Source organism: Homo sapiens, chromosome 18 (assembly GCF_000001405.40).
Source record: "Homo sapiens chromosome 18, GRCh38.p14 Primary Assembly".
Classification (NCBI taxonomy): domain Eukaryota; kingdom Metazoa; phylum Chordata; class Mammalia; order Primates; family Hominidae; genus Homo; species Homo sapiens.
This window is the reverse complement of record NC_000018.10, coordinates 45,823,113-45,847,402: the sequence shown is the minus strand read 5'-3', so window position 1 is coordinate 45,847,402 and position 24,290 is coordinate 45,823,113. Positions and strand designations below refer to the sequence as shown.

The following is a 24,290-nucleotide window of genomic DNA, read 5'->3' as shown; positions in this document are numbered from 1 at the left end:
CCTGCTGATCTCAGAGAGGTCAGGAGGGTCTGTGATGTGGCCTTGAGCTTGGTAAGAGCAGGGCCATAAAAATTGCACAAATGAGGTGGGAGTGGGGGTGCTTCTGGCAGTGTAACCCCAGCTTGGTCATGGTCTGCTGGGGAAATCCACCTTCAGTGGTGGGATGCCCAGGGAGTTCTCTTTAGTGTTATTTTTCACTCACATTTGTAAGATGCACTTTGAATGGGCCAAGGTGTGGAGAAGGGTCTGCACATTCCATTTGAGAATTAAACCAATTTGGGATTCCTTAGGGACAGGCCTTTCTGGGAGTGGGGTATGTCTCCCTCACCCTTGTCTAAGCTTGGCAGCTTTTTAAACCAGATGGAACCACAAGATTGAAGGGTTGGAAAGTGGCCTAGAGGCAGGTTGTCTCACTTCCTTCTAGTGCAGCAGCCAAGTTAGCTGTCTCCAGACCAGTGGGCATCTTTGTGGGGACCCTCTGAAAGAAACGATCTTTCTCCGAAAATGCTTCTCTTCTGAAGACAGCCCTTTTCTCTCTTGGTCTTTCTTTGCCACCCCTTGTTTAGCATATAATCAAGAAATAACCAAAAAAAAGGGCAACCAGCAGCCCTCGGGGCTGCTCTGCCTATGGAGTAGCCATTTTCTTACTCTTTTACTTTCTTAAACTTGATTTTGCTTTGCACTGTGGACTCACCCTGAATTCTTTCTTGCTCGAGGTCCAAGAACCCTGTCTTAGTGTCTGGATCGGGACCCCTTTCTGGTAACAAGATCTCTTTCCTCCCTGGGGGCTTTTCCTCATTTTAAAATGAGTATAATTCCAGTCTTACCTGCTGGGCTCTTAGAACCCCCGAGATCTTTTTTTTTTTTTTTTTTTTTTTTTTGAGAGGGAGTTTTGCTCTTGTTGCCTAGGCTGGAGTGCAGTGGCGCGATCTCGGCCCACTGCAACCTTCACCTCCTGGGTTCAAGCAATTTTTGTGCCTCACCCTCCCGAGTAGCTGGGATTACAGGCACCTGCCACCATGCCTGGCTAGTTTTTGTATTTCTAGTAGAGGCGGGGTTTCGCCTTGTTGGCCAGGCTGGTCTTGAACTCCTGACTTCAGGTGATCCGCCCACCTCGGCCTCCCAAAGTGATACAGGTATGAGCCACCGCCCCTGACCTCCACTGGGATCTTACAGGGCTTTGAGGATCACAGGGGGCCCAGAAACATGAGGGGCTGTTATTGAAGAGGGGGTGGGACTGGACTTTAGTGGCCAGCACTGGAGCCGGGACAAAACCCGGACGCTTGACTCTTGTCTAAAGAGCCTTCCAGCCTGAGGCTTCTGTGACTGGTGGGGGACCAAGCACCCACCCTGACCCTGGCTCTCTTGTCCTGTCTGACCAGTGAGGTACAAGTGAAAACTCAGCCCATGGTGTCTCCAGCCAACTCATTTCCATCTCAAGGCAGGGCCTACTTTCACCATAGATTATCCCCTGGGTGGTTTCTTCTCACGTAGCTACATCTAGTTTTAAATTTCAGTTGGCAGCAGGGAAAGTGTGTTGGGCTCCTGGTGGACCCAGGAGATCACCCAGGTAGTTGCCGGCCACTTCCTCTCACTGCTGTCTTCAAAGTCTGGTGGGCATTGACCACAGAGCAAAGCCTGCAGGCCGCAGCCTGCCTGTCAGAAGCCCCTGGGAAGAGCATGTTCATGGAACGCTGTGCCCTGCACTACAACAGGAAGTCCAATCTTGAAAACACCGAGTCTTCTGGGTCATTTCTCTCCTTGACTCCGTGCCGCAGGACACCATGCTGACTCAGCCTGCCGCTCGTGTCTCTGGTCTTTGTTGCCAGTGACAGAGCCTGAGTACTCTGAGAGGGTGGGTGGGGGAAGACAGGCAGCTCTGCTCCACCCAGACCTCTTACAGGGACAGTGCCAGGCTCCAAGAGCAGCCCAGAGGGTCTGGGGAGGGCCGAGTGCTGTCCCCTCACCACCCTCCCCTCTGACCCTAGGAGCAGCGGCTTTATCAGGAGGCCAAGCTGGGGGCTGCCTGTGCACTGTGTGCCGTTGTTAAAGGGGGTGCCAGCTGGCCGACCCTCCTCAACATGCTTCCCACAGCCTCTCACTGCATCTGAAACCATGCCAACAGAGGCATGTCTCTCTGAGGAATGGCGCTTCTTCCAGTCCCAAGAAGCCCTCTTCAAAATGCAAGTACCGCAGAAGGGTATGTATCAGCTAGCACCAGCTGATTACCTGGCACCGTTACACATCTGCACCATCATGCCAATGCCAGGTGCACCCAGAGCTGCAGTCTCAACCGTTAGCTTAAGAATCACCTGGAGTCAACTGCTTCCTGCTTAGAAACAACAAACTTCAAAAGGACATTTTGAAGACAGTCGTGGAAATCTGAATACGGACTGTAAAATGATACTGCATTCATGTTAATGATCTCAAATGTGGTAATGGTATTGAGGTGATAGAGCACAAAGCAGATACTTAAGAAATAATTCCTATTGCAATTTTTCTTGGCTGTGAAACTGGCCTCAAAGACCAGGCAGATGTTCCAATACACACCACTCCTGTGTCCTTAACTTCTTCCCTGGTCATGCAGGACTTTCCATAGAGGTGCCCCAAAGCATCCCCATACAAGGAGGTACACAAGCCTGCTCCTGTGACCTCTTAACAGCTCAGACAGGCTCCTGGATGAATCCCAAGGTTAATTAGGAGCCACCTCTTGCCCTGGTGAAGGCTCTGGTGAGGAGTGGAGCTTTGCAACCCACTGGCCTGCATAATAACTTGTGAAGATCTTGTGAAGATCCCTTGACCTTCAGACCGTCTCCCTGGAAAAAGCATCACTGCCTCTTTTTTAAAAAACATTTTTAATTAGTATGGGTATATGTATTTATATATTTATAGGGTACATGTGATGTTTTGATTCAGGCATACAATGTGCAATGATCAAATCAGGGATTGGCGTATCCATCACCTCAAGTACTTACCGTTAAGAACATTCCAATTCCACTCTTAGTTATTTTAAAATATACAATAAGTTGTTAACTATAGTCGCCCTCTTGTGCTAGCAAATACTAGATCTTATTCGTTCTAACAGTATTTTGTTCTCAGTAAGTATCCCCACGTTATCGCCCGCTCCCTGCTATCCTTCCCAGCCCCTGGTAACCATTATTCTATTACTCCATGAGTTCAATTTCAACTTTTTTTAGCTTCCACATGTGAGTGCGAACATGCGATATTTATCTTTCTGTGCTTGACTTATTTCCCTTAACATAATGGCTGCCAGTTCCATCCATGTTGTTGCAAGCGACAGGATTTCATTTTTTTTTTTTATGGCTGAATATTTCATTGTGTGTTCATTTTCTTCATTCATTCGTGGATGGACACTTAGGCTGATTCCATATCTTGGCTATTGCAAATAGTGCTGCAGTAAACATGGGAGTACTGGTATCTTTTCAATATACTGATTTCCTTGCTGACAGATACCCAGCAGTGGGATTACTGGATCATATGGTAGTTCTATTTCTTTTTTTTTCTTTGGAGACAGTCTCTCTGTTGCCCAGGCTGGAGGACAGTGGGGTGATCTCAGCTCACTGCAACCTCTGCCTCCTGGGTTCAAGCAATACTTCTGCCTCAGCCTCCCAAGTTGCTGGGACTATAGGCACGTGCCAGCACGCCCAGCTAATTTTTGTATTTTTAGTAGAGACAGAGTTTTACCATGTTAGCTAGGCTGGTCTCGAACTCCTGACCTCAAGTGATCCACCTGCCTCGGCCTCCCAGGGTGCTGGGATTACAGGCATGAGCCACCACGCCCAGCCTATTTTTAGTTTTTTGAGGAAACTGTACTGTTCTCCATAGTGGCTATACTAATTTACATTCCCACCAATAGTATATGGGGATTCCTCTTTCTCCACTTTCTCATCAGCATTTGTCATTGCCTGTCTTTTGGATAAAAGCCATTGTAACTGGGGTGAGATGTCTTGTTCATGGCCTCGTTATTCCCCTAGCCTGTGGCCCTTTCCTCTTGCCAGCTTACCTGGGACCCAGGCATGCCTCCCTCCTCTCCCTAAGCCCCAAGGACCACAGGAGCTAAGGTGATCAACAAATTCACCCTGAGGTGTAAATAGGGAAGCACCCCTCCAAGTCAGCCTGCCCGCGTTAGGGCAAAGGGGGTGAAGTTGCCAGTGCGTTTGGACTTCGCACGCCCTGAGAGGCTGCAGGTCAGAGAGGTCAGAGCTGTAGCTGCTTTACGCACGGACTCTCCGGCCAGACCTCCCCTCAGGTCTCCCGGCTTCAGCTCCTGAGACAGTGGTTCCCAGATACCTTGAGAGAGGGGAGCCTGGTTTCCATTTCCTAGGGGTCCCAGCTCAAGGCAATGCAGGGCAGCTGATGGGGCAAGAGTTGGGCAGAGGGTGTGGGACAGTCACAGTGGAGATCCCAGGGGGCATGGGGTAAAGGCCCCAGGCCTCTCCCTGCCACCAAGTTTCCAGGATTTGATGTTCCTCTGACCACACGTTTGCACAGCCCCTGCCCCAGGCTTGCTCTCTGGAACTCTGTGTTCTCCGTGACACTGCTGCAGGGGCCACACTTCTCCAAGAACTGACTGCACGTCCAAAGGTCACTCTGCAAAGAGGGTTCTGTCATGCCCCTCATGAGAAGATGGCTTTGTACTTTCCAAAGCCCCTTCATATCCATTATTTCCTCAGATCTTTGTAGTCCTCCCAGCCAGGAGGGAAGAATATGATTGTCCGTGTTCAACAGTAAATGAATTGAGACCCAGAGAAGTGAAGAGAGTGTCCCAGGTCCACACAGCAAGTCGGTGACAGAGGAGGACAAGACTGGGCCTCCAGGCCCTGTAAACAGTTTCCTGTCTGCTTTACTATAGCAGGTGTTCTAGGTAAGAAAGGGCAAGGGAACATTTCTGGAAGTTTCACGCTCAAGCTAATGCGTGTACTCTCTCTCTCTCTCTCTCACACACACACACACACACAGACGTATGCACATTTACGAAATGCTGGCAAAAATATCAGGGAGCTCCGAAATGGTTGTCCACATAGGAGGCCAGATGAGCCTCCTTGAGCAGGGTCTTGACCTTGAGCAGGGGAGGAGCCACCCAGCTGGGGGCTGCCAAGGTGCCCGAGAACCAGGACTGGCTGTGCCAGCCAAGCCTCGCACTGGCCTTTGTTCTTTACAGTGCTGAAATGGATGTTGGTGGCTGAGGGACTCCTCACGGTGAGCACATGGTGGCTGGTGGGCTCCGGGGGTTCATCTGGCTCAAATTTTCATAATTGGACTCCTGGGCCTGGGACCTGTGGACAGGAGAAAGTTGAATGATCATCCAAACAGGTGGGAGGTCCACAACTGCCCAAACTATATGCCAGCAGTGGGCCAAGAAGAGGAGACATTCTGGGGAGCAGTGCGGCTGGAACCGGCAGGGCTCAGAGATGAATGGCATCGGAGGCTGGGCAGAGTCAGGAATAGGGAGGGGCCCCCAAAGGCCAGGGCAGCCCAGACCATAGAGTTGCTATCTCTGTCTGAGGCCTCAAGACTGGCTCCATGTCCCTGACCTACAAATCGGAATCTCCGGCCTGGCCTCCTGGTCCCCAACTGCTTTCCTGACTTCCCCTAGGACATCTCAGTGGGAATCTCAAATCTCAATGTCCACTGTGCTACGCATGACCCTCACACCCGCCCCACTCTCTTCTCCTCTTGTCTTTATCTCAGGAAGTGGGACCCAGGGCTCAGGCTCCCAACCCCGGCAGCCTGGCTCCCTCTCACACTGTGTGCTGCCCACTGGGCTCTTGGGCAAGCCCTGCCTCCCGTCTACCCACTTCCCCACCGCCACCCCTGCACCTTTGTCCAAACAGCCAAGCCAGCCTCAGCCTTGCCAACGGCCTGCAACCAAGTCTCCTGGGCCAGCTTGTTCTGATGGAGCCATGCGTCCGCTTAAAACCATTCAGTGACTTCCCATTGCACCCACAATAACCCCCACGCCTTTCCTGCCTTCCTCCCGTCCACCCTCCAGAAATGCCTGCCTCCTTTCTGGGCCTCACCTGAGTCTTTCTACTTGCCTTTTCCTCTCCCGGGCTGCCCCTACTGTCCCTGTCTTACGTCCACACTCTAGTGGGGCTTGCTCTCTGGAACTCCACCGCTCCTACCTGCCCAGGCCCCAGCCTCCATCCTCAGGTCCCCTCAATGTCATGTCCTCCAAGAGAACTTGATCTAAAGCAGCCTCAGCCCAGCAGCGGGCCCCCTCCCCAGGGAATCTGCTGCATCACGTGTCCATTTCCTTCACAGCTCTTACTTTACGATGTCAGGTGGCGTGTTTCCATATTTATTAAAATTCTCCACAATAGGATATGAGTTCTGTGAGGTCAGGGATCTTGCTGTGTCTTTAGTACCAGTGCCTGGTATGCAGTAGGTACTCAATAAGTATTTGTTAAATGACTGAACAACGGTCGGCTTTCAGATTCAGGGGCGTTGGTGCGACAGTAAATCAGCAAACAGGGACACAGGACAGGTTGTGGGACTGTGGAGAGATCGGCAGGCAGCTGATGAGTGGGGCCACCAGCAGTGTGGCACCTCCAGCCTTCAGGGCACAGGTGGGTGGAGTTATGGGAGTGCCTAGGCTCCTCCTCCCACTCCTACCCTCTGCCAGGATCAGGCCCAGCCTGTACAGGGTCTATGAATTGAGTTCTTTCTCCTTCAACACCAGCCTTCACATGGGTGGATGCCACAGAAGAGGAGAGTATGACCCAGGAGTCAGTGATTTCCTAGGGGTCTCTGGGCCCCTCACCTAGGCTCTCAGAACCTCTAGAGATTTTGTTTGCAAAGCCTTCAGCAGAGTGCCAGGGGGGAACGGGGATGAGTGTCCCCAATGTGGTTTTTGTATGAATCTGCCTGTTCAAGAATGTGGAGGGGAAACTACAGGAAGAAACACAGCCTGGAGTCGTGGGGGAGGAGCAGGTCAGCGAGGCTTGGTCTGTCCAGGGAAGACCTTGGCAGGCTGCAAGAGGGGTGCCTTGGTGGGCTGCAAGGAAGGCCCAGCCCCTGGTCAAAGTAGGACCCCAGCCCCAGCCCTTTGCCATTTATTCCTTCTCCTGCCTGGACCCCCTGGGTGATGAGGACTAGGTGGGTGGGGTAGGGTAGGGTGGAGGCGGGGAGCTCACTTACCGTGGTGGGGTGTCCGGGGTGTCCAGATGCTCTGTGGGAGGGACAGCAAGAGAGCAGGCATGAATCTCCACCGCAGTCTGCAGCCTGTGCGCCCACCCCCACCCATGCCATGTGGAAGGGGTCTCGAGGAAACCACTGTTTTTGAAGCAAACAGCAGACTAGCAGGGTGTGAAGCTGTGCCATGGAACCCTGCTGGGGAGTTAGTGAGGAGAGGGGTGGACTGAGGAGCAATCCAGTAAAAAGTCCGTTCTTCTGAGCACCCTGAGCACAAAACACTTGATGAGTTCCAAGAAACGGGCAAGAAAGCCATTGTGGCCACAGCAGCAGCCAGGGCCACTGTGACAAAGTCTGATCTCACTAGAGTGTGAGCCTAGTGCTATGGACCTGGGGGTTCTGAGGGGCTCCAAGAAGCTCCCTCCCTCTCTGGGGCACAGGGCAGATTTCTGATCCAGATCAGAGACAGCAGGAGTGGCAATCTCAGGACACCCTGTTAGTCAATCCACCATGATCTCTGCTAGGAAGAGCGTTTCTCCTTGTTTTCCTAGCTCATGCCTACTTACATATTTTTATTTAGCTCTCCCAGCACGGCTTGTGTGAAGCCTTCTCCAGATGCCCCACCAGAGGGAGGCATACCTTCCTCTGGCTTCTGCAGAGGTAGGGTTGAGGAGAGCCCTTCTCATAGCACATTGCAATGATCTGTCTACCGCTCAGCACGCACTGCAGGGCAGGGGACCATGCCATATTCATCAGTGTATTCCTAGCACCCACACAGCACATAGTAGGTCCTCAGGAACGGTGCTATTTAGGAAGGTCTGTAGTCAGAGCCCCTCCAGAGGAATCGTTTACCGGGTGGTAGCAAAGGGACGGCTCTAGAGTTAACCGGGTCTGGGTCTCTATATCTCTGTGCTGCTATCAAAAGGCAGGTTACTTAACCTCTCTGAGCCTCAGCTTCCTTATTGCAAAATGGGATTTTTTCGTGCTGGTTACACCTGCTGGGCTTCATGCAAAGAGAGGAAAGCGCCACGATGCATAGGGCAAAAAAACCGACATTCTGGCAGTGCCAGGGGGTCAGCCAGGTGGTCTTATCTAAGAGCAGAGAGCCCCGGCCCGGCCCCTCGCGGCCACCCGTGTCTGGGGCGCACCCACCTGGGCGGCGGCGGGCAGCGCGGGCGGCCAGGACCCCGAGCAGCAGCAGCGCCTTGAAGCCGAGAGCGCCGAGCAGGAGGGCGACCGTCGAGGCCCCGCTGGCGCCATGGAAGCGGAACAGGTAGACGCTGGCCTCGGAGCGGCCCAGGCTGTTGGCGGCCGTACACGTGTAGCGGCCGTCATGGGTCAGTGCGGGCAGTTCGGCGGTCACTAGGTGGCCGTGACCCTCACGCGGGCTCCGCACGGCTGCCAAGCTGTTGCCCAGGGCCGGGCCGGACCAGGCGAGGGCGGGCGGCGGCTCCCCTTCGGCAGTGCAGAGCGCGCGGAAGGCGTGAGCCGGACTGGGCAGCACCGAGATGTTGACGATCCGCGGCGCGGCTGCAGGGGAGAAGGCGGGTGACTGTCACAAGGGCACCCCTCCCCTTAGCCCTTTGGACGCCAGAGCCGGAGGGGTGGGGGCTGGTCAGAAGGGAGGAATGGGCACTTGGGTGCCAGGCTGCCCCCGTCCCAATACAGATGTGGCCTTGGGCGAAAGATTCTATCATCTCTGCTTCTGCTTCTCCATGTGTAAAGTGAGGATCATGATAGCAGTTGCCTTAAGAGGTTGCTGAAAAGATTTGGCAAATTCATGCTTGTGGGTGCTTGGACTAGGTCCCGGCTCCCTAGCAAATGCTAAGTGGCCATTATTGTCGCAGAGCAGGGTGGGGGCTAGAGTGGAGAGCCACTGCTCTAGGGACGGGACCCTGGTTCAGGCATCTTTGTATATCAGGGTCTGGCAAAGTGCTAGGCACTACTTGGTGGGCTGTCTGTGCACCCCTGGGTAGAGGGGCTGCGAGTGTCTTTCCGGGCTGGTAGCACACACCACATTGCACCTCTTGGCATATTTAGGATTGCCATTCACTTGTCTTTCTCGCCTCTTCGTCTGAGAGCCACTGGGGACAGTCACTCTACGAGAGTCACGGCAATGCCTATTCCCGGGCCCACCTCAGCCCTTCCTGGGACCTGGATTCTGCATTTGTGTCAAGCTCCCAGGTGGTCCTAAACTACCCCCAGGTGTGAGATCCCTGGGGTAGAGGAGAGGGCTGGGTCTCGTTGCCCTTCCTGGCTCAGCACAGCGCCTGGCACCCACGTAGCCCTTGGGGCGGGGCAGGCGGGAGGGCGGGAAGGGAGGCCGGGGACCCGCTCCCACGCCGCCTCGCCTGTCACGTGCAGCCGGACGCCGTGGCGGCTCTCGTAGCGGTCATGGACGTCGCCGGCGAACTCGACGCGGCAGAAGTAGCGGCGGTCGTCAGCCAGGGCGAGGCGCTCGACGCGCAGCGAGAGGTCGTTGCGGCGCGGGTTGCCCAGCAGCCGGAAGCGGCCGTGCAGGCTCAGCGCCGTCTGGCAGAGCTCGCTGCCCCGCGCCGCAGCGCAGCGGAACACCTGCGGGCCCGCATAGGGCTCGCCCGCGCGCCAGATGGCCGTCAGCGGCCCGTCGTAGTGGCGGTGCGGGTGCGTGAAGGTGCAGGGCAGCACTGCCGCGTCGCCTGCCTCCGCGCTCACCTCGGGTGGCACCTGCATGGACCAGCGCTGCGCTGGCGAGCCTGAGGGCGGGGCGGGCTGCGTCAGGCTCGGGGCCCTGGGGTCGAGGCGCCCGCACCCGGGGCCTGGAAACCCCACGACCCAGGAAACGCTCCCCCAACCCCTAGCCTGGAAACCCCAGGACTCAGGGATCGTCCCCCACTTCCAGGGGAGCCGGAACCCCACCTTGTGACTTGAGGGGCAATTCCTGGTGCCTGCACCCCCAGGGCCTGCACTCCCTCGACTTGGGAGTGCCTGCGTTCCCGCGGCTCTTCCCTGGGACTATTCCCCTCTTCGTTTCCTAATTCACCTGCAGGCCCCTTGACCCCATATTCTTACCCTTAGTTTTTCCCCATCAAAACCTGCCCTGTGGAAAAACCCTGGGATCTCGTGGTTAAAACAGACTCCCAAGATCCCCGAGATGGTGATAATAATAAAAGCACTTACTGTGCACCTCTGTGTTGAGCAAGTTCTCCGTAGTATCTATTTTAGTTCTCACAAATGAGCCTACAGATAAACACAGTTAACCCCGGGTTACACGTGAATAAACTGAGGCTCAGAGAAGTTGAGTAACTGAAGTCACACTGCCAGCATGAGGCCAAGCCAGCGTTCAGGATCGCCTCACTCTACAGCCTGCATTCTAGTGCACTAGAGGCTGGGAACTTTGGGGCTTCTCCGAGGACACCAGCACTTCCACTTACAGAGAGGAAACAGCCCCTGCGAGGGGGCAGTGTGTTTGGAAGCTAATGCGTTGAGTTGGTGCATGAGATTCCTCTAGAATTCAGGTATACCCAAGTGAACTGTGCCCTGACTGGCTTCCCTAGTGCCTGGGCAGGGAGGGAGCTGAGAGACCAGAGAGGTGGGCTGTTTCACTGCCTCCTTGCTCTGTGCAAGCACCTCTGAACAGTTTCCCCATTCCCCACCTTGTGAACCATGGATGTGTGGTTGAGCCAGGGTCTGGAAGCAGAGCTCTGCCTCCAGCTCACAGAGGGCTGGTGAACTGCAGGGTGTGTGTGGTTGCCTATGTGTGCTGCTTTGGGGGAGAGGGGAGCGCGCCTCAGAGGATAAGGCCAGGGGTGGTGCCTCCCAAGGAGAAAGGGCAGGCTTCTAAGCCTGCCCAGCCGGTGCCCCAGGGTGCAGTTCACAAAAGGATCTTTAGAGGAAATAATACGGCAGCTCTTGTAGTTCCAAAGGGCTTTGCAGTTTACACAGTGCTTTCATAGATACCATGTCATGTGACCCTCAAAGCACCCAGTGGAGACAGGCAGGGCAGATATTATTAAAGGTGAGAAAATGAAGGCTCAGAGTCACACAGGTTGAAGATGGGAGAAATATGACTTTTCTGACCCCAAGCCCAGTGCTCTTTGCTTTTTGAGGTAATTTAGCCCAATTTGCTCCTTGGGCAGGAGTCTTCTCAGCCCTAACCCATCGCTGGCAGACCATCCTCCATGGGGACCATCCATCTATGAATAATCACAGGTCGGGACATTCCTTCTGCACAGAACCAAAATCTCCGGCCGCCCACAGGACCGCCATTGTTCTCTGGTGTGTGCACATCGCTTTCTCATGATGGCCCCGTGCAGGGTCTTGTCATGACTATCCTGGACCCATTGAGCCTTCTCTTTTCTGGTGGAAAAATCCCAGTCCCTTTCCTGGCCTTCCTCATCCTCACTGTCCTCTTCCTTCATTGTAGTGTCCTGAGCCTGGGGGCTCCAGGTGTGTGCTCTAGGTGTGCTGGACCTGCAGTGCCGTGAGTCCCACAGTGCTGCCCTGGGCTGTGGGAGCTGTGCCTGGAAAAAATCCCACTGTGTTTCATGCCCAGCTTGCCATCAGGTAAAAGTGTTACTGGATGGTTCAGTTCCAGGTTCTTGGTGCCACAAACAATTGGACATGACAGAAATAGCAAAGCAAAGCATCAAGAGTGTATGAAGTACAGTATCACACCCTTGGAGTGGGAGAGTGACTGACCTCTACGAAATGAGATCAGCACCAGTTTGTTACATTTCATGGCCTTTTATTTTTTCTCTTCTCTTCCTGAGCTGCCTAATCTCTAGCCAGCATCTGCCTTTTGATTGATAGACTGCTTAGTTACTTTGGCCCTTGTGTGCTTGTGCGTTGCCTCCATCCCATAATTTTAAGTACATGCATGAGATGCAGTCCATATGCATGAACCTTAAATAGCTAATTACCATACAGGGTCATTTTAAGTATACTTTTTCTCTCTAGTGCACATGCCCATCTCTGAGAAGCTTACCTTTACTGGTCTGGTCTGGATCTTGCCGGCCATGGGGTCTCTTACTTGCTTATCTCCCTTTTGTTTTGGCTGCTCAACTTCTGCTTCTTCTCTTGCTTTGTGTTCACCTGCCCCTTCACTTCCCTCTACTATTCTCCTGCCTCAAAACTACAAGTTCTTTTTTTCATACAACCTGCTTTTAAGCCTAATCTCCTTTTTTTTTTCTGGACAAATGTAATTACATTTTTGAACCCGAGTGGAGGACCTAACATTTTATCTCTAGAAAGAGCTTGTTTGTTCAGTTAATCATCAAAGAACCTTGCTCCAAATTTGAGAAACCCTGTCTGAAGGATTGGCTGGTTCAGTCAGTACTTCTAGATGCAGAAAGCATCTCTCCAATCTTGAGGTTGAGCCCCAGCCTTAGTTTCCCTGCTATTTCTCACTTTCTGTGACCTCAGCCTCCTCTGACCTCTTGCATCTTGCAGGCATCACAGAGCCAGGCACAGATTCCCCACATATTATTTGCTATCGTGCATTCATCAATTCAGCAAACATGTATTGGACACTTCCCCACTTTATGCCAGGCACTGGGGTACGAGCTGTGGTGACAAAGGTGGACAGGATATCTTATCAGCCTGCTGGGGCTTGCAGCTTAGAAAAGGAGACAGATTTGTAGGCACATAATTACACTACAGTCTGCCAGATGCCGTAAAGATGGGCATGAACAATATCCCTTCTGTCTGAATATGGCTTCTGGCCATGTCACTCACCAGCTCCTCCTCTTCATCCTCAGGGTTCCACTGAGTCTTTCCTACAGCAGGGGGCTTCCCTGAGCCCCAAGCCTAGGGCTGGCCTCCCTCCCCTGTGCCTCAGAGCTGGCATAGGTACTTCCTCAATATGAGCATTGCCTTTGAACTGTGTGTCTTGTCCAGACACTCAGAAGCTCTGGCAGGGCAGGGACCACATCTATCTGGTTCTATTTGTGTTGCTGTTGCCCAGCATGGTACCTGCCTCTCAGTCACTGACATTGGATTGATTTGCTATGTGAGGACAGAAGGGTGGGTGTCCAGGCTGACAGGAGAGGGTAGGGGTGGTTAGAGTAGGGGTGTATTAGGCAGGCAGGGATTGGAGAACCCTTGAGAGAGGCGATGTCACTTCAGCAGAGCCTTGAGAAAGGGAGGGGACTGCACGAAGCCTTGAGGTAGCATTCTAGGCAAAGGGAACAGCAGAGCAAAGCCACAAGGCGTGGACATCAATCAGCATAGAGGTTGCCAGGCATGAAGGCGTAATGAGGCCAGAGCACACAGTGCTCTGCGGAGTCCTCATCTCATTAAAAACAATACTCTGTCATGTGTCATGTTGCCATGGATTCATGGGTTTTTTTCCATATTTCCTTTACTTATCTTGGTTAATTTGTTCACCTCTGTATCAATACAGCATGTCATGTGCTTCATTACTACAGCACTCTAATGAATCTGGATGGTTCCCCACCTTTTCCCTCATATTCGGTCCTATATATCTATACCTTGGTCTTTGCCCTTTTATAGAAATTTTAGTTTATGAACTAACAGCAACAGCAACAATAATGACAGCAGTAAACTCTTTTTGAGAATTTGCTTGGTTTGCATTAAATCTGTACGTCAGGATATAATTCTCAATGATATCCTCATCTCATTTAAAATGCACAAGAGGCCGGGCGTGGTGGCTCATGCCTGTAATTCCAGCACTTTGGGAGGCCAAGGTGGGCAGATCAGTTGAGGTCAGGAGTTCCAGACCAGCCTGGCTAACATGGTAAAACCCCGTCTCTACTAAAAATACAAAAATAAGTGAGGCATGGTGATGGTCCCCTGTAATCCCTATGCAGGAGGCTGAAGCATGAGATTGCTTGAGCCCAGGAGGCAGAGGTTGCAGTGAGCTGAGACTGCACCACTGTACTCCAGCCTGGGCAACAGAGCGAGACTCTGCCTCAAATAATAATAATAATAAAATAAATAAAAGTAAAATGCACAACAACCCCATCAGGTGCTATCATTAGCTCCCTCTTAGAGAAGGGGAAACTGGGGTTTGCAGAACCACAGCAACTTGGTGAAGTCACAGAGCCAAGGCTTAACCCTGGGTAGTTTTGCCTCCTTTGTTCAAAGGATTTTTACCTTTACCTGTATGCTCCAGTGCCCAAGGACAAGAGCCAATTTTGAAAATGTCCTGAAGTGTGCTGCAAATGGCAGGTCTGGGCCCCTCCCTCCCTGGGTGGGCTTTGCTCTAGGAGCAGAATGGGAACACAGAGGGTCTTTCACCAAGGGTTACGATCTTGGCTGCCATTAGGAAGAGATTTGTGCTTCCTGTTTACCTGCTGAATGGGATTCAAAGAAGCGGGCACTTGGACTCCCGCTTACACAGAGACCTTTGGATAAGGCTGCCCAGAGGACTCAGGGTGAGGGTGGGAAAGACTCAGCAGGATTTGCCCAGGGAAAAAAATGCGCTTGCTTTGGCTAGAATACAAGCTCCCCAGCATCCTGTGACATTTACAATTCCCTCTGGCAGCTTATGCCTGTCTGCTAAGACAGGGGAGGGAGGATTCCTGAACTGGAATCATGGCCCCTTACTGTAGGGTCTCTAATCTCTCTGCTTTATCTCTGTCAACCTTCAGGGGTCATCAGGAGACCCACATTCTTCCTGTTGTCCAAAATACCCTCCCTCAATGGTGGGCCATAGGGTATGGCGGGAAGCATGCTAGCTTTGGCACAGCTGGACCTAGGTGGCAATTCCACCTCTGGCCATTCTTCATCAGACTTTTATCAAGCACCCAATCTGTGCCTGGCACGTCCTAGGCTCCTTCACTTACTGGGTGATCTTTGGGCAAGTTATATAACATCAGACTTTTATCAAGCACCCAATCTGTGCCTGGCACGTCCTAGGCTCCTTCACTTACTGGGTGATCTTTGGGCAAGTTATATAACATCAGACTTTTATCAAGCACCCAATCTGTGCCTGGCACGTCCTAGGCTCCTTCACTTACTGGGTGATCTTTGGGCAAGTTATATAATATCCCGGGTCTCAGGGTCCTCTGCTGCAAAATGGCGAACATAGTACCTTCCACATAGGATTGAGGATTGAATGAAACCACGTATGTAGAGCACTGAACACAGTGCCTCACACACAGCAAATGCTCCATATGTGTTAGTTCCCTTCCCTCACTAGTCCTGCACAGGGAGTGTGAACAGAGGGTGGTGGGAAAGTGCTCAGGGTGATGCCACAGGGGGTTAAGATGTTGGGCCGGGCGTGGCGGCTCACGCCTGTAATCCCAGCACTTTGGGAGGCCGAGGCAGGTGGATCACCTGAGGTCAGGAATTCAAGACCAGCCTGGTGGTGAATCCCTGCCTCTACTAAAAACACAAAAATTAGCTGGGCGCAGTGGTGCACGTCTATAATCCCAGCCACTCAGGAGGCTGAGGCAGGAGAACCGCTTGAACCCGGGAGGCGGAGGCTGCAGTGAGCCGAGATTGCCCCACTGTACTCCAGCCTGGGCAACAAGAGTGAAACTCCGCCAAAAAAAAAAAAAGATGTTGGTACCTGGACACTACACCATTTGCAGCTCAATTTAGCATGTTGGACCAGCTGAAGTATAATTGCCCAATCCTTGTCCTTAACTCACCTGGAATTTCTTCATTTATTCATTCATGTATTCACTCAATAGGTATTTATTGAGAGTTTACCATGTGCTAGAGACTCTGCTGGGTGCTGGGGATACAGTTGCAGTGGCAATTAATAGCCTCCTCGTTAGGTTGACAGTCTGGCCATTGCTCAGCCACTATTTGTTTTTTAATTTATGCACAATTCTAACACACTTATTTGGTTAGTTTCCCAGCCCAGGGACATGAAAATTGAAAAGCTAGAATGTGGTTTCTGTTTGTAGACTCTTGGAAAGCAGCAAGAAATGAGAGTTGACATTCAATGAGGGAGGCAAATTTTAGTAAAAAATAGTGGAAAGACAGCTTAGGCAGAAATGATAAATGTACAGTGTCAAAGAGACTATTTGGAGAAGGAGTGAACCCAGAAGGCTTTGAGCCATCACAACACGGCAGCAGGCGAGTGTAGCAGGTGGACACAGAGACGGCCCGAGGCACCATGGAGGGGTTCACTGCCGCAAGAGGCATTCTGCTTTGGTGGCATGCCCCTCAGAGTGGGTGTCAGGGGTCTGTCCGGGGCTCCAGCCCTAGCTCTGATGCTGACTTTGGGACATTGGGCAAGTTGCCATAGCTCTCTGGCGTCAGTAGTCTCATCCATGAGTTGATAACTCTAGATGTTTACTAAGGTGACATTAAATTCTAAAAATCTATGTCTGAAAATGATACTTGGATAAAAATGACAAGAAAGCACATAAAGCATTTTAGAAAAATGTCTAGCTGGCCAAGCGCGGTGGCTCACGCCTGTAATCCCAGCATTTTGGGAGGCTGAGGCGGGCAGATCACAAGGTCAGGAATTCAAGACCAGCCTGGCCAATATGGTGAAACCCCGTCTCTACTAAAAATACAAAAAAAAAAAAAAAAAAATTAGCCTGGCATGGCAGTGGGTGCCTGTAGTTCCAGCTACTTGAGAGGCTGAGGCAGGAGACTCGCTTGAACCTGGGAGGCGGAGGTTGCAGTGAGCTGAGATGGTGCCACTGCACTCCAGCCTGGGTGACAGAGCGAGACTCCGTCTCAAAAAAAAAAAAAAAAAAAAGAAAGAAAAATATCTAGCTAAAATAAATCAAAGGACTTTTAGGTATTCAGAAAACTGACCTGAAAGTAGCATCCATGCCTTGATGGTCTTTCATAGCGAAATTCCCCCCATAGCTCCCTTCATGCCTCCTTGCAGTGACCAATCTAAAGGAGGAAGGATTGGGGCTGCCGCATCGGGCATTAGCTCTCACATCATTGCAATCATGATCCCACTAGGGAGCAGTTGACTGATGCCGAACCTACTCTCCCAAAGCCCCACACCTGTGTTGCCAGGGTAGGCAGAGAGCTCCAGGGAGACAGAAACAGAGCTGGGGAGCCTACACCAGCAGAAGCTGCAATTGGATAGGGTCAGAAACAGAAACCTTGGTTTTGCCACAGCTGACCAAAATCTCCACCAGTTCCTTGGTAAGGAAAAAAGCAAAGCAGGAATTTGCACGGGAACCTCTGTGTAGATCTTCTGTGGGCGTAGTCACGCTTCTGTTAACTAGAGAGAAAGCTGAGCTGCTTGTCGGTTTCATGGCGGAGCACGGGTCACTTGCTCTCTGTGGATGTTTTACTAATGCCTGGAATTAAAGACCCTCTCCAGGGTGTCACAGACAGGAAAGTGAGTCCCGTGGTAGTCGTGGTGGAATAATGGCCAGAGGGGGTGCCCTTACAGAATGGCACTTTAACAAAAATTAGGTCTGCTGGGGTGGGCTTTATGTGACACGGATTTTGAGGGGGTAAGGGAAGGATGGAACCAAGTGGGCAGTCACCATAGGAAGACCACGCCTCCAGGAGGGACAGCATTGTGGCCCTCAGAGCTGGAGTCCCTCAGGCATCTTTTGTGCCCCTGCCACCACCACATGGCTGACATTACCAGCTGACGAGTGGCCAGTATGAGGAGCCCAACAATCTGGGAGGGGCTACCCTCCTTGAGGGCACCTGGGCATGCTAACAGGGTGCTCCAGGAGTGTGGCTCCGGGGGTGGCACTTCCGGCATTGTGACACCTGGAGGGCCAGGAGAGGGCATTTTGAGGGCAAGGAGAGACACTCCCATTGGCTGTCGACCTCACCTGTAGGTATGTGGGTGGAGCTGAGGCTCATTGCAGCTCAGCCCTTCCCCTCCTGCCCCTTGGTTTGCTCCCTGCAAATCTTTCTCTGGGCTTGCAAGTTGTCAAGATAGGTTATCAGCAGAGAAAGGGCAAGAATGGGGTGGAGATCAGAGAGCAGAGGAGGGAGAGGAAGCAGAAATTCCAACTGTCAGCACAAACCAGACCCTGAAGGTTCCCGGGAAGGGGTGAGGTGTGAGTAGTGAGTGAAAGGCCAGCTGGTCTCTATCTGCTTCAGGGTTATCTGGCTTCCCCTTTAACCCATGCCTCTGCCGCAGGCTGACTGTGGCGTGGGTGTGGCCCTGCTTACCTGAGCTGATGGAGAGGCAGGGCCACAGGCTGACCCTGCTGTGGGGCCTGTGCCCACCCCAGAGTGCTGCTCTTCAGAGTCCCGATGTAGCCTGTCTCTGCTGGTGCCCCCACCCCCTGCCCAGCCTCCATAGTGATCCCTGCTCCCTTCACTCCTCCCCTTCCCGCCCCAGATAGGACTTCCTCAGTTCAAGCAAACTGCTCACAACAGCCACTGGGAGAGAAGTGCCCTGGCTCATTAAACCCTCCCATTTCCTCCTGGGCTGTGACACCAGCCCATGTCCTCCGGTCCTGACCTTTGCCTGTGTCCCGAATAAGCACCCCTGCATCTTTGGGTGACCGCTGCTATTTGTCTTGCCATTTGGGTTTGTTTTTCTGCGGCAGTTCAGAACTAGCGAAGTAAATAGCTCTCCACACCAGGCTTTGCCCAGGCTCCCTGCCCACTGCAGGAGGGTGCGGGAGAGGTGGATGCACACTCAGAAGCCTCTGCTTCCCATTTAGGCTGGATGCCCCGGCAGTCACCAAATCCCCATTGCAGAGGCCAGGAGCCTCACTTGCAAGGCTGTGCTGAAGAGTAAATGAACTGTTTGTCACAGGCCTGGCACAAGGGGTTCTGAAGATGACAGTGGTTGTGGTTGTGATATCTGCCTATCACAGGCTTGAGGACCACCTGAGGCCTTGTCCAAGGTCACTCGGGTGGTTGGAGCTCCCAGACCAGTGTTCTTCCCCCTGCCCCACGTTCCCTGGCATCTCTAGCTTCCTAAAAGCAGATATGGGGGGAGATGGAGGAGGACCTGGGAGGCTATGTGGGGAGCCCCTGGGAGATTAGGGGCTGCTGGGCACTGGGTGTCGAGTATGGGGGTCTCCTGCATGAAGGGGAGGACATGGAAAGTAGAAGGGGCCTTTCTGGGACAAATGCTTCCCACTTTTCTCTCACCAAGGGGCTGTTCTGGGCTAGGGAAGGGACCACGACTGGCGGGCCTGCGTTGGCACAGGCGTCTGCTCACAGAGCCTCTGGTGCACACACGGTGGTGGAGCAGAGCCTGCTCCTCGGGCCTCCTGCCCAGGCCGTGGCCTGGATGTCTTCTGGCTGAGCCATGAGGAGAGGCTCCCAGAAGAAGAGCAGCCAGAAGAGCGTCAGGAAGTGGGGGCCTGGACCACCCTGGTTCTAACTGTGAAGCAGCTGCTGTTTGTAAAGAAAATGACTTTCTGCAGCTGAGTCGGCTCACGCGAGTGGCTTGGCTGCACTCAGTAATCTCAACAGAGAAGGTGTGTGGTTTGGCGTTTGTTTTTGAACATGTGACTCCACAGCCCATGCTTCCTCTAAATCCTTTGTGTCTTGCTGATTCATAGCAGCTGACCCGTAACAGGAGAGAAAAAAAGAAATCACCCTAAACCTAAAATCCCCAAAGCCTCGGCTCTCTTGAAACGCTGTGACTTTGGCAAGGTTTCATGGCCATTATTTATCGTGCGGCCACTGAGGGCCAGGAGCTGTGCTGGGGGCCTTTGATGTAGTGTCTAATGAATCTCCCCAGCTCCTCTTCAAGGTGGCAGGGACCCCAGTTTACAGGGACTCAAGAAAGGTAGACAGCCTGCCCAAGGCCATGCAGCCAGTAAACAGCAAACAGCAGAGGTGGGCTTCAGACCTGCCCTGCTGCCAACATCCACACCCTCAACCCCTCTCCCATTGACCACTTGGGTCTGGCCACTGTCTCAGTGGGACCCAACCCTAAATCATCCCAGAAAGATGGCTAAGTTAGGTCAACTTGGGAAAAGATAGCTCCTTCCCTGTCAGTGCCTACCAAGGGTCCATGGCTGTGTGGGGTGGGGTAGTGGGGGGGCCCAGCCAAAAGCCCCACACACCTGGGTTCAAATCCCAGCTCCACCCCTGCCACTTGTTGAGCCCCTCTGGGCCCCATGTTCTTCATCTGTGAAAAGAGAATGTTTCATAGGGAAGAGTTCCTTTCTCTGCCGGGCATGGTGGCTCACACCTGTAATCTCAGCACTTTGGGAGGCCAAGGCGGGCTGATCACTTGAGGTCAGGAGTTCGAGACCAGGCTGGACAACGTGGCAAAATTCTGTCTCTACTAAAAATTTAAAAAATTAGCTGGGCGTGGTGGCACACACTTGTAATCCCAGCTACTTGGGAGGCTGAGGCACAAGAATCACTTGAACTTGGGAGGCAGAGTTTACAGTGAGCTGAGATTGCGCCACTGCACTCCAGCCTGGGTGACAGAGTGGGACTCTGTCTCCAAAGAGAAACAAACAAACAAACAGAGTTCCTTTCTCATAGGGTTTTCAGCCTTATGTGAGTTACTAAAGTGCCCAGCATGTGGTGACAGCTGTGCAGAGGTTTGCTGTTACTGCCCAAACCAGCCCCGAGCTGGACTCCAGTCTGAGTACACGCCAGATGGGAGGGCAAAGGGGTCTAAGGTGTGGGAGTTTATCATCCAGTTATGGAGCCAGGACCCCATACAGGGAATGTTGACTAACAGCTCAGGACACCATGATGTCAGTGTGTGGCCTGTGATGGCCGAGCATACAGTGGCATGGATGCTGAGTCCTAGGATGGGGATGGGGTAAGGACTGGGATCTGGAGAGAGGTGCTCTGAGGATTGCCTTTGCCATTAATCCCAGGTGCCCTCAAATGCATCGAGTGTCAGAATCACCCAAGAAGGTGGTGAAAATGCAGATTCCTAGGACTTGCTGCCTGATACTCTGATTCTGCAGGTCTGGGGTGGAGCCAAAGAACCTGCATTTTAGCAAATGCCCTCTCCTAACCCCAGGGATTCTGATGCAGATGGTCCCTGTGCCTTTTGAAACACTGTTCCCAGGATACCAAGTCACCGAGCTAAGTGACTGATGACATTGTTGCTTAAACCTGCCACAGTGTTCCCACTCACCCACTGGGATTCCTGCTGGGAGGGCCTCTATCCCTCACTATATCCCCCACATGAAATCACCCCCTCCCATGCATCAGCACTGTCCCCAAACGCCCATGCACTCCCCGCCCTTCTTCCTCAGGCTGTGCCCATCAAAACACACGGCACTTGGGTGACAGCAGCACAAGAAGCTTGTTCAGAGCCTGTGATGTCCTCTCTGTACCTGGCCTATTGTCCTCTGGATGCTCGCAGCAATGGGTGGGGCAAGTAGCCTTTATATAGGCAGCCACCCTGAAGCCAGAGACATGGAGTGCCTGTCTCAAGTCACCTGAAATCCAAGACACAGCACTGATTTGAACTTCTGGCTTCTGGCACCACAGGCCCCAAGCGCAGCTCTTCCTCCTCCACAGGCCTGGAGGCTCTGCACACCTGCTTCCTGCCTTCCAGGGGAGACTGTACCTAAGATGCTTTCAGCATCTATTCTGTCCCGAGCATGGGCCAGAGAGAGTAGCAGACACTCACCTGTCGGGAGAACCCACGCCAAGCAGGCCAGCAGCCAGATGGACTTTTCCATGCTGTGAGCATCTGAACACCCCAGGCCAGACCCGCTCTCGGCCACCTCCCCAGTGAGGGCCCTCCCAGGCGTGGTGGGGGAAGGAAGGCGGGCGGGGGTGGGCAGGGCACTCAGATCTGCAGGTCCCTGTGGGCTCTGCGGGAGCCGGAGGAACTGGGGACAGGAAGCCTGGCAGCCTGAGGTCTGATCATTCAAGCCCCGTGGAGTTTAGTCATGTGGAAAACCAAGAGGGGAATCACTGGGATGATTTTCCAGGACAGGAAACAGGAAAGAGGGTGAGAAAGAAACAGGGCCATTTCCTGTGGCTGCCATCCCCTCACAGAAAACTGTTGTCTTTATGCTGTTTATATGTGGCTCACCCTTCCTTCCTCCCTCCCTCACTTCCTTCCTCTCCCTCCCTCCTTCCTTTCCTTCCTTCCTCTCTTCCTCCCTTTCTCCCTCCCTTCTTCCATCCCATCCTCCCTTCTCCTCTCCCTTTTTTCCTTCCCTTATTCCTCCCTCCCTCTCTCCCTCCCTCTATCCCTCTCTTCCTCCCTCTCTCCCTCCCTCTCTTCCTCCCTCCCTCCCTCCCTTCCTTCCCTCCCTCCCTCCCTCCTTTCCTACCTCCCTTCTCAAAGCTTAGGTTGGGTCTCTGGGCCTGGTCAAGAATGCAGAGGGCAGATACACAGATGTTTGCTCTTTGAGCAGTTGACCCAACTGTGGAGCAGTTTCTCCCTTAGACAGTGACCTGACACCTGCTGCTAGCCACCTCCCTGTCCTTCTGCCCCCTTCCCTTGGCACTTGGGGGTCTTCCTAGTCTCTCTAACCCTCATGTCCAATCAGCTGCGAGTCCCCAGAGCCAGACCCGTTTCTTCAGCAGCTTGCAGACTTCTCCACCTCAACAGGCCCACAGAGCCTGTTACCATACTCTCTCTGCCTCCTCTTGTCCCCCAGCTTCTAGGTTCTATGATTCGGTGGATGGCAGCATTATCCTTCTAGGAAAGCTGAGCTAGAAATGTGCAAGTCCCCCTTGACACCACCTCCTCTTCACCACACACAGCCAGTCCTGTGTTCTGTTCCTCCTCCTCCCTTTGGCCGTGCCTTGGCTCAGGCTGTATCCCTTCTCATGGGACTCCTTCAACTTCTTGGTCACTCTCTGCAAGCACAGCGACTTTTGAAAACAATGAAATTGATAATTTCTCTTCCCTGCTTAAAACCCTTTCATGACATTTCATTGTTCTCTTCTTAAAGTTCCAACTGTCACGCCTGTAATCCCAGCATGTTGGGAGGCTGAGGCGGGCAGATCACAAGGTCAGGAGATCGAGACCATCTTGGCTAACACGGTGAAACACCGTCTCTACTAAAAATACAAAATATTAGCTGGGTGTGGTGGTGGGTGCCTGTAGTCTCAGCTACTTGGGAGGCTGAGGCAGGAGAATGGTGTGAAGCCAGGAGGCGGAGCTTGCAGTGAGCCAAGATTGTGCCACTGCCCTCCAGCCTGGGCGACAGAGCGAGACTCCGTCTCAAAAAAAAATAAAAAAGTTCCAACTGGAGATCGACACAGGAGGCCCTTCAGGTTCAGGACCCAGCCCAGAGGCTGGTCTACTGTCTGTGCCTCCCCTCCTTCACCTGCCCCCACCCAACCACAGTTCCCAAGCCATCTTTGCACCTGTGGTCTTCCCAACCCATTTTCATCCTCTGGGTCAGCTCCTTCTTAACCCTCAGTCCTCAGTATCATCTCTGCCTGCAATTACATTATGTACTTATTTATTTTCTTGTTTATCATTCCTCTCCTCCCCCAGATATAAGGTTCAGGTGCTCAGCACTAGTTGCCATGTGATTCTTACCACCTAGAGCGCCACTTGGCATCCCATAGGTGCTGGAGAGGTATTTGAAAGAATGCAGGGGCATTTGCTCCCTGTGTGCAGACCTCCTTCCTCGCACGTGCTGTGCTGTGTTGTCATCGTTTGTTTGCTGGTCTGTTCCATCGCCTTTCCTTCCTACCCTCCTTTTCCTGGGCTATAATTATGGAGGAGAGAACCATGTTTCTGGTCTGTATCACAGGACTTTGTGCAGACTAGCAGTTAGATAAATCAATTAGATGAATAAAAAAATAATAAAAGAACAAAATAAAATAATATCCTCAGGAAGATACTTGAAACTTGCTAACACTCAGTGTAAATGGCCGAGGGTTGCCGGGAGTATGACTCCATTCTTGCAGGGTGATGCAGTGGTCAAGGGTTCACAGTTGCATATTAGGGTTAAGGAAATACAGCTTTACCGATGGAATGCCAAGTGTCATTGAACTGGTGAGAGAGGTAATTTAGGGACAAGGGGTCTCAATTCTTCTAGGAAAGCTCAAGTTGCCTCTTAGATCTTCCAATACTACCTCCACACTGTGGCTGTCAGAGTGAACCTTCTAAAGTGAAAATATGATCATGCACCCCTCACCCTCATCTCAGGTGTCTCCAGAGTTTCCTTAAAACCTCAGGACCAAGCTCAAATTCCTAAATTTGTTGTTAAAGCACCTCCCATCCACCTTCCATACTGTTCCTTCTGCCTGGAGTACCACCACTCCCACCCCATTGAATCTCAGTAACTCCTAGCTTGTTGTTCAAAACTCATTCCCATGGTCAC

At 52.6% G+C, this 24,290-nt stretch overlaps 2 protein-coding genes across 6 annotated transcripts in view, besides 3 other annotated features; one reads left to right on the top strand and one right to left on the bottom strand.

The window, feature by feature from the left end:
* EPG5 (ectopic P-granules 5 autophagy tethering factor) overlaps positions 1–24,290 on the top strand; it is a 166,749-nt gene that overhangs the window by 119,927 nt on the left and 22,532 nt on the right. The gene's annotated exons all lie outside the window — the stretch shown is intronic.
* Positions 3,309–21,728, bottom strand: SIGLEC15 (sialic acid binding Ig like lectin 15). Its single transcript, NM_213602.3, has 6 exons — positions 21,623–21,728; positions 10,315–10,374; positions 9,507–9,890; positions 8,308–8,685; positions 7,162–7,192; positions 3,309–5,297 (listed from the first exon to the last, which is right to left on the bottom strand). Exons 1-6 carry the CDS (start codon positions 21,672–21,674, stop codon positions 5,216–5,218), a joined length of 987 nt encoding a protein of 328 aa, NP_998767.1. The 5' UTR covers positions 21,675–21,728; the 3' UTR covers positions 3,309–5,215.
* Positions 8,560–9,061: an enhancer, noted in NCBI's record as "H3K27ac-H3K4me1 hESC enhancer chr18:43418307-43418808 (GRCh37/hg19 assembly coordinates)". NCBI's record gives its function as "activates a minimal SCP1, AML or CMV promoter by ChIP-STARR-seq in primed H9 embryonic stem cells {active_cell/tissue: H9 hESC(primed)}" and the evidence as "EXISTENCE:reporter gene assay evidence [ECO:0000049][PMID:30033119]".
* Positions 17,940–18,638: an enhancer, noted in NCBI's record as "H3K27ac-H3K4me1 hESC enhancer chr18:43408730-43409428 (GRCh37/hg19 assembly coordinates)". NCBI's record gives its function as "activates a minimal SCP1, AML or CMV promoter by ChIP-STARR-seq in primed H9 embryonic stem cells {active_cell/tissue: H9 hESC(primed)}" and the evidence as "EXISTENCE:reporter gene assay evidence [ECO:0000049][PMID:30033119]".
* Positions 19,201–19,380: an enhancer, noted in NCBI's record as "active region_13263". NCBI's record gives its function as "activates an Ori minimal core promoter by ATAC-STARR-seq in GM12878 lymphoblastoid cells {active_cell/tissue: GM12878}" and the evidence as "EXISTENCE:reporter gene assay evidence [ECO:0000049][PMID:35858748]".